Source organism: Homo sapiens, chromosome 2 (genome assembly GCF_000001405.40).
Source record: "Homo sapiens chromosome 2, GRCh38.p14 Primary Assembly".
Classification (NCBI taxonomy): Eukaryota; Metazoa; Chordata; class Mammalia; order Primates; family Hominidae; genus Homo; species Homo sapiens.
The window spans coordinates 128811906-128825093 of record NC_000002.12 but is presented as its reverse complement, the minus strand read 5'-3'; the positions used below and the strand labels follow the sequence as shown (position 1 = coordinate 128825093).

Genomic DNA, 13188 nt, shown 5'->3' with positions numbered 1-13188 from the left:
ATCTCTGACATCCTTTCTTCTGCTTGATCAATTTGGCTATTGATATTTGTGTATGCTTCATGATGTTCTCGTGCTATGTTTTTCAGCTCCATCGGGTCATTTGTGTTCTTCTCTAAAGTGGTTATTCTAGTCAGCAATTCCTCTAACCTTTTCTCAAGATTCTTAGCTTCCTTGCATTGGGTTATAACATGCTCCTTTAGCTCGGAGTAGTTTGTTATTACCTCTGAAGCCTACTTCTGTCAATTCGTCAAACTCACTCTCTGTCTAGTTTTGTTCCCTTCCTGGCAAGGAGTTTTGACCCTTTGGAGGAGAAGAGACATTTTGGTTTTGGGAATTTTCACCCTTTCTGTCCTGGTTTCTCCTCATCTTTATGGCTTTATCTACCTTTGGTCTTTGATGTTGGTGACCTTCAGATGGGGTTTTTGTGTGGGTGTCCTTTTTGCTGATGTTGATGCTATTCCTTTCTGTTTGTTGGTTTTCCTTTTAACAGTCAGGCCCCTCTGCTGCAGGTTGGCTGGAGTTTGCTGGAGGTCCACTCCAGACCCTGTTTGCCTGGGTATTACCAGTGCAAGCTGCAGAACAGCAAAGATTGTTGCCTGTTCCTTCCTCTGGAAGCTTCTTACCAGAGGAACACCCGCCAGATGCCAGCCGGAGCTCTACTGTATGAGGTGTCTGTCAACCCCTGATGGGAGATGTCTCCCAGTCAGGAGTCACAGGAGTCAGGGACCCACTTGAGGAGGCAGTCTGTCCCTTAGCAGAGCTCAAGTGCTGTGCTGGGAGATCCACTGCTCTCTTCAGAGCTGGCAGGCTGGAATGTTTAATTCTGCTGAAGCTGTGCCCACAGCCGCCCCATCCCCCAGGTGCTCTGTATCAGGGAGATAGGAGTTTTATCTATAATCCCCTGACTGGGGTTGCTGCCTTTCTTTCAGAGATGCCCTGCCCAGACAGGAGGAATCTAGAGAGGCTGTCTGGCTACAGAGGCTTTGCCGAGCTGCAGTGGGCTCTGCCCAGTTTGAACTTCCCGGCAGCTCTGTTTCCACTGTGAGGGGAAAACCACCTACTCAAGCCTCAGTAATGGTGGACACCGCTTCCCCCACCAAGCTCAGGCATCCCAGATTGACTTCAGACTGCTGTGCTGGCAGCGAGAATTTCAAGCCAGTAGATCTCAGCCTGCTGGACTCCATCAGGGTGGGATCCACTGAGCTAGACTACTTGGCTCCCTGGCTTCAGCCTCCTTTCCAGAGGAGTAAACGGTCTGTCTAGCTGGCGTTCCAGGCACCACTGGGGTATGAGAAAAAACTCCTGCAGCTAGCTTGGTGTCTGCCCAAATGGCCACCTAGTTTTGTGCTTGAAACCCAGGGCTCTGGTGGTGTAGGCACCCGAGGAAATCTCCTAGTCTGTGGGTTGTGAAGACCGTGGGAAAAGCATAGTATCTGGGCCGGAAGGCACTGTTCCTCACAGCACAGTCCCTCGTGGCTTCCCTTGGCTAGGGGAGGGAGTTCCCTGATCCCTTGTGCTTCCTGGGTGAGGCAACACCCCACCCTGCTTCTGCTCACCCTCTGTGGGCTGCACCCATTGTCTAACCAGTCCCAGTGAGATGAGCCGGGTACCTCAGTTGGAAATGTAGAAATCACCTGCCTTCTGCATTGATCTCAGTGGGAGCTGCAGACCAGAGCTGTTCCTATTTGTCCATCTTGCCCAGGTCGCACCCTCTTTCCCATTTTTTTAAAGTCATTTAAAGGCATTTAAAACCCTCATTCTCCTCAATTTTTTTCTCCCTGAAATTCACTCTTTAGAAGTCCCTCCAGTGAGTATATTTATTGGTGTTTACTCCTCCAAGTTTTTGTTTATATGAAGATATTTTTATGTCTTTCTCATTATTTAAAGATGGTTTTGCTGATGACAAAGTGTTATGTTGACAGCCACTGTTTCTTGGTATCTGATGTCTTGAGCGTTCATTATTGCTATTCAGAAGTGTGCCCTGAGCCCACTGTTTCTTTACTAAGTTGAAGATTTTTGCCCTCTGGCTACTATAAGATTTTCTTCTGGCTTCTTGGTTTGGTAGGTTCTGTGTCTAGTTCTGGTTTTTTCTTTGGATTTGTTGTCTTTTTTGGTGTATATTGGGTTTATTGGATCTGTGTCTTTCTTCACTTCTAGAATATTTTCAGCCATTATTTATGGCTGCTTTTTTTCCTCTTTTTCTTTCCGCCCCTGGAATTCCAGTTCAGCTTTCTCATTCTCATTCTGTCTTCCATGTGACTTAAACCCTGCCTCAAGCTCTTCCCCTCCTGTCTGCACACTGTTTGTGGAAGAGTGGCCTAGAGTGTCTAGTCGGCTGTACTTGAAGCATCCATTGTCACTTCAGGTCCACACCCTGAGAAAATGTGTCCATCCTGAGAGTAAAAACCCACCGGAAAATGGATTTGGAAGTGCCCGGTGTGTCTCAAGGGCCAGTTGAGTGGGTTGTGCAGATGTCTATCTGCATCGCAGGAAGGGGTGCATCCTCAGGGAAGAGGGGTCAGAGGAGAAAGTGGCAGGCACCTGCCCTCTCCCACCAGGTCGGGGGCGAGGTGGGTGCAGCAGGGTGATTGGTGCTCCTATTGTCACAGCCTGTCTCCACCATCAACAACCAGCCACCTCCAGGGGAGAGAACAGACCATTCTATGAAAGAGCTGCTTTGTGTGTATGTGTGGGGTACTTTCTCCACTTTATCAAAATACCTAATGAAACAAAGAAAGGTGCCCCTGGCAGCACCAGGAGGGGGCTCTGGCCGACTCAGAGGAGAGACCCCACTGTGCAGTAGCTGGAGCTTGGCTTGGTGGCTGCGCTGCTCTGTTCTCCTTCCTGCCCCACCATGCACCTCTCTGGTCTCCTCTAGGGCATTTCCTAAAGTGGCACCTGCTCATGTACTGCCCGTCTAAACGCACCGTGGTTTCCTGCTGCTCTTTGGATGAAGATCGAACACCTTTGCTTTGGTTCCACACACTGCGAGGTATGTCTCCAGCCTGTTTCCCGCTTCCCTGGTCCATTTCACTAAATCAAATCACAGCTAGCCCATGCTTACATGGCATGCTCATAAGGCTGGCATTTTCCTCAGAGCCCTCAGAGCCATTTCCTCAGCGTAATCATCTTGTGGAACTTCTCTAACATCTTCTCCTTCCAACCCATCCAGTTCCCACCCACATTAATGGTGAGATTGCCCTGCAGTGCTCACATTCCAAACCTGGAGCAGCACCTGGCCTGAGCTGGCATAGCATGTTTCTTGACGAGGTAAAACCAAATGTGGGCACAGCCCATAGATGGTCCAATTTCGTTCAAAGGGGAGGGACCTGGAAATGGGAAGGATGTGAGTGGGCCCACCCCATCTCCTTTCCTCTGCTGCCATGACCCCACCCATCCCCAAAAGCATCACTTTTCCATCCCTGTCCTGGTTAATGTAATCAGTACCATCCTGTAAGCCCGAGGTACCATTGCCCCATTGCCACTTTAATAACAAAAATATTAGCTACCTTTACTCATCACTTACCTGGTAAGGCTCATTTTCATTTTTGCTGATCCTCTAAACAACCCTGCAAGGAAATTATTTTTAACTCCCTCATTCAGGTAAGACACCTGGTTATCCATGGCTGTGTGATAAAGGACCCCAAAACTTAGAAGCTTAAAACAGCCACCACTTGATTATAGCTCATGATCTGTGGGTCAGGATTTCAGGCAGGTCCTGGCTCAGTGCTGGTTCCATCCCTAGCAGGAGCCATCCACAGAGGCCATGGCTGCACTCAGCTGGCAGATGGACTGGGCTGGAGGGCCCAGGGTGGCTTCACACCCTTGTCTGTCTGGGACTTTGGTTGGGATGACTGCCAGCTGGGCTCAGCTGAGGCTGAGGCCCAAGTGCCCACAGGAGTGGCCCCGTCAGCTGACTGCCTCCTCATACAGAGGCTCAGGGCTTCCACAGCTCCCAAGAGCCTGGGGCAGAAGCTGGAGGGCTTCAAATGATGTGTCTTCTGTAGTAGCAAAACCTCCCTTCTACTGCAATCTATGGGCCAGGAAAGTCATCCCAGGCCAGTTCAGATTCAGGGGATGATGCCATCCCTCAATGGGAGGGGCAGCATGGGTTTTGCAGCCATTTTAATCCAACACCAGGAAATTGAGGCTGACAGAGGCCGATGGCTTCCTTGCATCTTCACAGCAGGAGACGGTGGCCCAAGAGTTGAGCCAGGGGCTGCAGGTCATCCAGCCATCTCTGCACTCTTTGGAGAACCAGAACCTGCTTTCTGAAAGTGAACCAATTTGCTTTTTAATTAAAAAAAGATATTTAAGATAAAATGACTTCAGTTTTCCCTCATGGAAATTAAGGCAGAGAAGAGAAATATTTTAAAGCTGCCAGGAGTGATCCATCCATTGGCTGGCCTGGGGCTCTCTGCTTGGCCCACCAGGTGCTCTGGCAGAGGCTCCAGCCAAGCCTGGGCACCAGGCCGACAGAGCCACTGGAAAGAAAAGATGCGTCATCCCAGCAGACACATCCCTGGGATCCCCAAACAAGCTAGCAAGGAAAGACTGAAATGCACGCACTTATTTCAGGCAAAGTGCTTCCTTGACCACTCACACAAATATCACAGAATGAGCCTCCGAGTGGGCCTTACCATGCCATCATGTTGATGATGAGACTAAATTTCTGTTGTCCATAAACACTCCTGGTATAATTTGCTTGTGTGCATATATGTGTGTAGTATTTGTTATTCATTTGCTTTTATTTAGCTTCCTCGTGGTTGAGTTCCTGGGAGTGTTTCCTTATGAGAACGTCCTCCATGGGCTAGTGGGGGGCATTTCCAGCCACCAGTTCCCTCCCGATGACAAGCATGTAGATGCTTAGCTCTCTTCAGAGCACTTTGAAAGCTGTGACTTGCCTTCAGTCTGGGTGCGGGTGGGGCCGGAGGGGAAGCGGCTTCTTCGGAATCCTTCCCTGAGTCCTTGCTTCTCAATATGCAGGAGGCACCAGAGTCACTCAGCTTAGGGGGAGGTGACTCTTAGCATTCTTACCCCTTTTAGTTCAACACCCTTTTGTAACCTTTCACTTCCACTCATCTACAGCTATTTCCAAGCATGAACCCAAGGTATGAGCAAACTCTAGGAAGCCCCTAATCTTGGTGGAATCCCAGTTCTATTTGGGCATTGGCTCCTGAATGCTCGTGACCCTGCCTAGGATTCCCAGCCCTCTGTGTGGGGCAGTCTTTCTGAATCTTGTTTGAAAGGATGGAGGAAAGCCCTCTGGACTAATGAGTGAGAGCTTCAGAATCTCAGAACCCCAGAAATCCCACAAAGCCAGGGCACCTGGTGTACAGGATACTCAAGGGCCAGGGAATCTAAAGGTCACCTAGTCCTGGAATGTGGGGTTCTGGGATGCTGTTGCAGGGGCCCAGGGATCCTCCAGGCTGCCCAGCAGAGCAGCCCTGCTTCTAGCCGTCTTACTTAGAGGGGGTCCCTCAATGCTGTTTTGAAGACCAAGCTTTGTGACAAAAAAAAAGTAAGAAAAAGTATACAACTCAGTAAAATATGCCAACCCAGAGGCTAATTCTTTTTCTGCTAATGATGAAGCATTTATGTGGCCACATCACAGGGGAATGCTGGAAGCAGTAGAGGGAAGGATATGAGCAGGGCTGAGCTCGGGGATGGAGGGCCTAATCCACCTCTCAAGGTGTCTGCTCAATGCCTGGCCTAGGGAGTTCTGAGATGAGGGCTCAAGTTCGTGGAGTGACAGAGGGAGGCAGCCCCTGTCATCAGTGCAAAGTCGAGGGGCACCTGTGCAGCCTGGCATGGAGGGACACTTCCCAGCAGAGATGGCCTTTGACTGAGTTTCTGCAAGCAGTGGACAGGTGCTCCCAGGAGGACCAAGTGGAAGAGGTGCTTCCAGCAGAAAGATTAGTAAGACCAAGGGCCTGAGCAGGCGAGGGCTGGAAAATAAGGGTAAGAAGGCTGGGCTGGGCTCCTGAGAGAAATTTCTGTGGGCTGTTTGTGGTGCCAGAAAGAATGGACCACTTCCGCTATTTAACCGTGCTGTGATTATGAGCAAACGCCGGAGCCTTTCTGATCCTCTGTCCTGTTATCGATAAATGGAGTTCCTAGCCAACAGGGCATCCCTGAGGAGGGGCTGATATAAGCACCAGCACAGCGCTGGTCCATGAAGAGGCTCAGGAAGGCATGGGGCTGTGGTCATGACTGCCCCAGCATGACAACGAGGGCCTAAGACTCTAATTAGACTTATCAATTGTTGATGAGCACTTATTGGAGTGCATTAGACTTCTGTTGTCCATAAACAGTTCTAGTATAATTTGTGTGTGTGCATATTTGTGTGTAGTATTTGTTATTCATTTGCTTTTATTATTTAGCTCCCATGTGGTTTAGTTCCTGGGAGCCTCAAAGAATAAAGTATTTCATGTAGATTCCACCCCTAGGTTTATTTTCATGGAGCTTGAGCAATGGCCCCTCTCAGAGATGGGAGGTTTATGGCCCAGCAGTCAAACACTGTACCAGGAAATCCATTAAGGCCTCCATAACCAAGACAACTACAAATACTCATTAGCTTAAAAAAAGCAAGTCAGCCACTTACAGATTGTCCGCTGGATTTATCACTTAATTAGCATTTCATGAGAATTGTTTGTTAAGGATGAGAAACCAACTTTCTGGAATGACCTTTCCCTTTTGATTTCAAGAGAGGGTTACAGGAAGAAGTGAAGCCTTTGATTAGCAAATCAGCATCAGACTGAAGATATTGCAGTAAGTGGACCCCAGGGAATACAGAGGCGCTTCAAGTAATGCTGGGAGTGAACTGCATTTTACAGCATAGACAAGACCTATAAAGGTATAAGTACATGAAATGCAAAGGTACTAATGCCCTACATGTTTCCCTAAATAAAAGCATTTCCCTAAATAAAAGGCGTTGCACAAAATTATTTGTGAAATTAAGAAAATACAGGTCAGAAAGACAGTGCCTTCCTCTTCTGCTTAACTCAACGTGCCCATTCATTCAATAAACATCACCAAGTCCCGGCCACGTGCCAGACACTGGGATGGGTGGTGGGGACTCAACAATCAACAAAACAGCCAGACGATGTCTTGGTTTTTGGTGCACCGGGCAACTCAGACATGAATCAAGTAATTACACAGACAACCCACAGCCAGTGGAGGAGAAAAGCAGAGAGCCTGATCTGGTCTGAGGGATCAGGAAAGAGGAGTCTGCCCAGGGACATTTGAGCTCATGTGAATGAGCAACAGAAGGCACCAGGAGAGAAGCAGAGCTTCCCAGGAGAAGGAAATGCCAAGTGTGCATGCCCAACCACGGAAAGGGCTTAAATTCAAGGGACCAAGAGAAAGTTCAGAAAATAGAGAAAGAAACCGGGCTCTAGAAGCTGGAGCAGTCATGGGTTGCAACCATGGCCTTCCAGATGTTTTCTGGGTGGTCCGTGAGCACAGCCTGAGAGCAATTAGGAGAAATCTGTGTCCATGGGGTCATCCTCCAGGAAGCAAGCACCAGACAGAATTTCAAGTGTAAACTATTTATTGAGCATAATCTACTTGTGGGTGAGAAAGTTAGGAGGCACCTGGCTGCAGAGGAGGTAGAAAGAGCCTCAGACTGAAGCTCAGCTCTGAGAAAGCCTGGGCCAGCCTCCAGGGGCCAGGACAAACATCACCCATGGAGGAACCTGTTGTGGCAGGAATGGTGAGCCATCCCAGCACCCCAGGATTCAGTCACTGGCAGGCAACAGCTAGAACGCAGGTGGTCCCAGCTGGATAACTGAAGCAGTGCAGGAAGATACCACAGCTGGAGGCCGTCAGACAATGGCACTTCCTGCAGCAAGCCTGCTCAATGGGAGATCTGAACTGCACTTTCGTAGATAGCTGACCACTGAAGAATTTAAAGCGCACACGTGAAAATATCCAATTTACTTCTCATTTGCTGTATTTTAAAAACCCGTTTTGAGATATTGCGGATTGATAAATAGCTGTAATAAATATTACGGACTGATCCCCTGGATCCTTTACCCAGTTCTTCCAATGGTAACATCTTGCAAAACTGTAGCCCAGTATCACAAGAAGGATACTGATGTTGATACAATTCACCAAGCTTACTCAGATTCTCCAGTTGTACTTTTACTTATTTGTGTGCATGTGCATATTTAGTTCATGCGATTTTATCACATGAGTAGTTTCATGCACCCACCACCAGTCAAGACACAAAGCAATTCCATAGCTACAAAGGTGCTGATGTTGACTTTTTATACCCACACCCACCGCCCACCCATTGTCCCTCCAATGCCATCCCTAACTCTTGGAAACCATCAATCTACTCTCCAGTAATATAATACTATGATTTCAAGGATTTTATATAAATGAAGTCATGCATAAGCTGTTGGAATTCACATTTTTCACTCAACATAATTCCTTTAAGATTCACCCAAATTGTTGCATATATCAATAATTTCTTCCTTTGTGTTTCTTAGCAGTAATTCATGGTATACAAGCACAATCATGCATCACTTAATGACAGATATATATATATATATATACATATTATATATATATATATATATACAGATTATATATATATACATACAGATTTTATATGTATATAAAATACAGATTTTATATGTATATATATACACATACAGATTTTATATATATATATAAATTTTTTTTTTAAATGGAGTCTTGCACTGTCACCCAGGCTGGAGTGCAGTGGCGCAATCTCGGCTCACTGCAACCTCTGCCTCCCGGGTTCAAGTGATTCTCTTGCCTCGGCCTCCGAATAGCTGGGACTACAGGCACATAACTCCACGCCTGGCTAATTTTTTGCATTTTTAGTGGAGACGGGGTTTCACCATGTTCGCCAAGATGGTCTCGATCTCCTGACCTCGTGATCCACCCACCTCAGCCTCCCAAAGGGCTGGGATTACAGACGTGAGCCACCGTCCCTGGCCGCAGGGATACATTCTAAGAAACGCATCATTGGGTGATTTTGTCATTGTGTGAACATCATAGAGCATTCTTACACAAACCTAGATGGTACAGCCTACTACACACCTATGCTATATAGGATAGTCTATTGCTCGTAGACTACAAACCTGTCCAGCATGTTGCTGTACTGAATATTGTAGGAACACAATGGTATTTGTGTATCTAAATATAAATAAACATAGAAAAAGTACAGTAAAAATATGGTATAAAAGATTTTTTAAAATTGCACACCTGCGTAGGGCATTTACCATGGATAGAGCTTGCAGGACTGGAAGTTGCTCTGAGTGAGTCAGTGAGTCAGTGGCGAGTGAATGTGAAGGTCTAGGACATTGCTATGCACCACGGTATACTTTATAAACACTGTACATTTAGGCTACACTAAATTTATAGGAAATATTTTTCTTCCTTCAATAATAAAATAAACTTAGCTTACTGTAACCTTTTTTAAGCACATATGTGAAATTATCCAATTTACTTCTCATTTACTGTATTTTAAAAACCCATTTTATTTTGAGATATTGCAGATGGCTAAACAGCTGTAATAAATAATACTGACTGATCTCCTGGATCCTTTACACCAGCTTCACCACAAACAAGCGAGTAATGCTTCCACTACATCATTATGATGGCTATGATGTCACTGGGCAGTAGGAATTTTTCAGCTCCATTAGCATCTCATGGGACCACCGTCATATGCAACACTTGACGGTACTATACCTTTGTCCCTCAGTTTCTATGGAGGATTGGTTCCAGGGCCCCTCAAACCCAAATCCAGGGATATAAAATCTGGGGATGCTCCAGTTCCTTGTGTAAAATAGTGCAGTATTTGCATATACCCTGTGCACATCCTCCTGTATACTTTAAATCATCTCTAGATTACTTACAATACCTAACACAATGCCTACACATCATTTCATTCTCCTGAATTCAACGCAGTGCTGGGCATCCGGCAAATTTAAGTTTTGCCTTTTGAAACTTGGTGGAATGTTTTTCCAGATATTCTCAATCCTCAGTTGGTTGAATCCACGAATGGGAAACCCATCAAGGGCCTACTGTACCACAGTTTGTTTAACCATTCACCAGTTTAAGGATATGTGAGTTGTATCCAATTTTGGCTATTAAGAATACAGTTACTATGAGCATGAGTGGTGTTTTGTGTGAGTACAATTGCTCAGTGATGTGGCATGTTAAGTATGATAAGAAACTGCCACACTACTTTCCAAGGAGGTTTACCCCTTTGCATTCCAACAGCAATGTGTGGCCAATTTCTCAGCATCTTCTCCAGCACTGGTGCCATCACCATTTTTATCTTAGCCATTCTGATAGGGGCACAGTGATATTGTATTGTCACTTTTCATTTGCATTTCCCTAATAACTAATGAACATATTTTTGTTAGCTTATTTCTCATCTGTATATCTTCTTTGATGAAATGTCTGTTCCTGTCTTGCCTCTTTCAAGTCACATGACTTGTTTATTAACTGATGAGATTTAGGAGTTCTTTATATATTCTAACCAATGTCTTTTGTTGATTGTGTGGTTGGCAGATATTTTCCCCCTCTTTGTAGCCTTTCATTCTCTTAACAGGATCTTTCACAGAGTGAAAGTTTTAATTTTAATAAGGTCCAATTTATCAATTTTTCCTTTTATGGGTCATGCTTTTGGTGTTATCTTGGTTCCAAAGATTTTCTTATTTTTTTGTAAAAGTTGCATAATTTTCAATTTTACATTTGAGTATCTTAGCCATTTTGCATTACTTTTTGTCTAAGCTGTGAGGTTTAGGGGGAAGCTTATTTATTCATTTGCCTGTGAATGCCCACCTGCTGCAGCACCATTCCTTGAAAGGACTATCCTTCTGTTTTTCACATCTTTGTTGAAAATTGGTCATTTTATGTATTGAAACATTGCTATGTACCCCATGAATATGTACAATTATTACTTGTCAATTAAAAATTTAAAAAGAAATAAAATATTAGAATATGTATGTGAGGTAGTGGTAAGTCATTCTGGATGTAATAAACCAGGTGCAATGGGTCTGCCTGGGGGGCGGGGGGAAGTGTATTGTATGAAGAATGGCCAGGGAAGGCAGCACTATGAATGTGACAAGCCAACAGACATGGCAGCATTCAATAGGGCACTTAGTGGATGTTCAGAAGGGAACCAGATGTGTGTCCACAGGGTTGTGCTCCCTGCAGTGGGGCCAGTGAGTGAAAGGCCCTGAGGCAGGCGGTGCCTGGCACGTCTGGGCTGCCCCAGAAGGGAGGAGGGCAGCCACAGCCGGGTCAGGAAGACAGGGAGACAAAAGCATTGGACATAACCGGGGCTGGGGTTTGTGAAATGAGTGTGATGCAGGGAGAGGGGCAGGACACGGGAATGAGTGAGAGGGAGCAAATTGTGACTGCACTCAGCTGGGTAGGAAGAGGTGCCGCCATGGGGAGGGTGCGGTCATAGAAAGGCAGTGGATGAATGGGTTGCTGGTATCAGGTGGGGTGCTGACATTGCTGGAGTCAGGAGCCAAGGGGAATGGGCAGGGGAGAGGGTGATGAGCTGGGGCAAGGTGTGGGGACCTGCAGTCTCTGGCTGGGATGGGAACAGGGCTTGGGTGGCACCTCTCTGAGTGGCTGGAGCAGAGAGAGGCCTAGTCACTGAGGAGACTGAGAAGCTTGGTTGGGGTCACCCAGCTGGAGATGTAAATCCCCAGGAACTCTGACAGGTGGTAGGCAGAGAGACAGGCAGAAGGTGGGTCATGGGCAGGAGGTAGGTTGGGGGCTGGGGCGCTGACAGGGGTGGGAGGAGGTAGGGCAAACGCAGTGGGGAATAGTGAGGAGGGAGGAGGGGAGGAAGTTGGGAGGGAAGCAGGAGGGAGGTGCTGGGGGTGAGGTGGGAGGGAGGGCAGCTCTCCCTGACTGCTGGAGCCCTTGTGTATGGCCCAACCCACACCTGGGTGTCCTTGACTGTTCTGGGACCGTGGTCTCCTCTGTGACCCTAGCTCCAAGGTCTCAGCCCCAGAGCCAGTCTGGTTGTCAGACCCCATTGTCCCCATTTGGCAGCAGCAGGTGACCTTGCTGACTTCAGTGCCAGACTCCCCTCTTTCAGCATAGGCACCCCTGTTTCTGCAGCCCGGGTCTGCCCCTTCCCAGCATGAGAACATAAACACTCCAGCGCCTGGAGACCTCTGCCTGCCCTCTCAGTCCCACGTGCTGGGGGACCTCCGGTGGTGCAGGGATCCCTGGCCACACTGCAGGATGGCCCTGTGTGGGGTGCCAGGGAGTAGCAGAAGTCAGGAGCCTCCCTCCAGCCTTCCTGTGGCCCCTGCTGGCTTTCCCCTAGCCACAGTGTGCTCTCACTTCCAGTCCCACGCAGCCCCTCCCTGTCTCTGTCTGAAGAATCTGCTGACCACACCGTCTCCTGACCAGGCCACTTCTTCCTACAGACAAGGGTTGTCTCAACAAGCATGTGTCCTGTGACCCCATCACAATCGAGTGACAGAGCCAGCCCACTGCCAGACTCCAGCCAAGCATGAGGCGGCTATGCCTTGGTCAATGGGGAGCTGCAGGCATTGCAAAGGGTCACGGGGTACCCTGCTGGGCATTTGGGCTTTTGGGCAGAAGACAGCCAGGCCATGATGGCAGCTTTACCTCACACTGCCATCCTCATGCCCTTCCTCCTCCATGGGTGATGGGGCGGAGAGAAGGCATGGCACTGATGGGCCCCAGGGAAAGAGGATCAGCAGATGAGGTCCAGTGCCGTCGGGGCAGTGGCACTTCATGCTTAGGAAAGGGATGAGCAAATGGATGGGAAGCCCTTGCAGAAGCCGGTGGTTGGTGTAAACCTGACATGTGGGACAGATGCCATGAGGACAGTCCGACTGTGTCCTTGGGTCTGCGCTGAGACAAAGCCTACCAGCAGGGCTTTGGGGCAGGTGGGTGTCTGGACCCCTGTTTTCTCAGTGCGTCTCCCCTGGTGGACCAGGCTCCCCACAGCTGAGAGCTCCTAGTCTTGAATGGTTCTCCACGGAAGCTGGCCCCTGGTCTCTCAGAGAGGTGGCTGAGGACAGCATTGCACAGAGAGGGCACTTGCCTAAGTGAATGGGTCCAAAATGGACATCTGGGATGGGAAAGTGCAGATGCCTGCATGCTACCCTGAGATTCTGACTCGGGGGTTCTGGAATGGGGCCCAGG

At 47.9% G+C, this 13188-nt stretch overlaps 1 annotated feature.

Annotated features, from left to right (window-relative positions):
- Positions 12384–12884: an enhancer, noted in NCBI's record as "H3K4me1 hESC enhancer chr2:129569784-129570284 (GRCh37/hg19 assembly coordinates)". NCBI's record gives its function as "activates a minimal SCP1, AML or CMV promoter by ChIP-STARR-seq in primed H9 embryonic stem cells {active_cell/tissue: H9 hESC(primed)}" and the evidence as "EXISTENCE:reporter gene assay evidence [ECO:0000049][PMID:30033119]".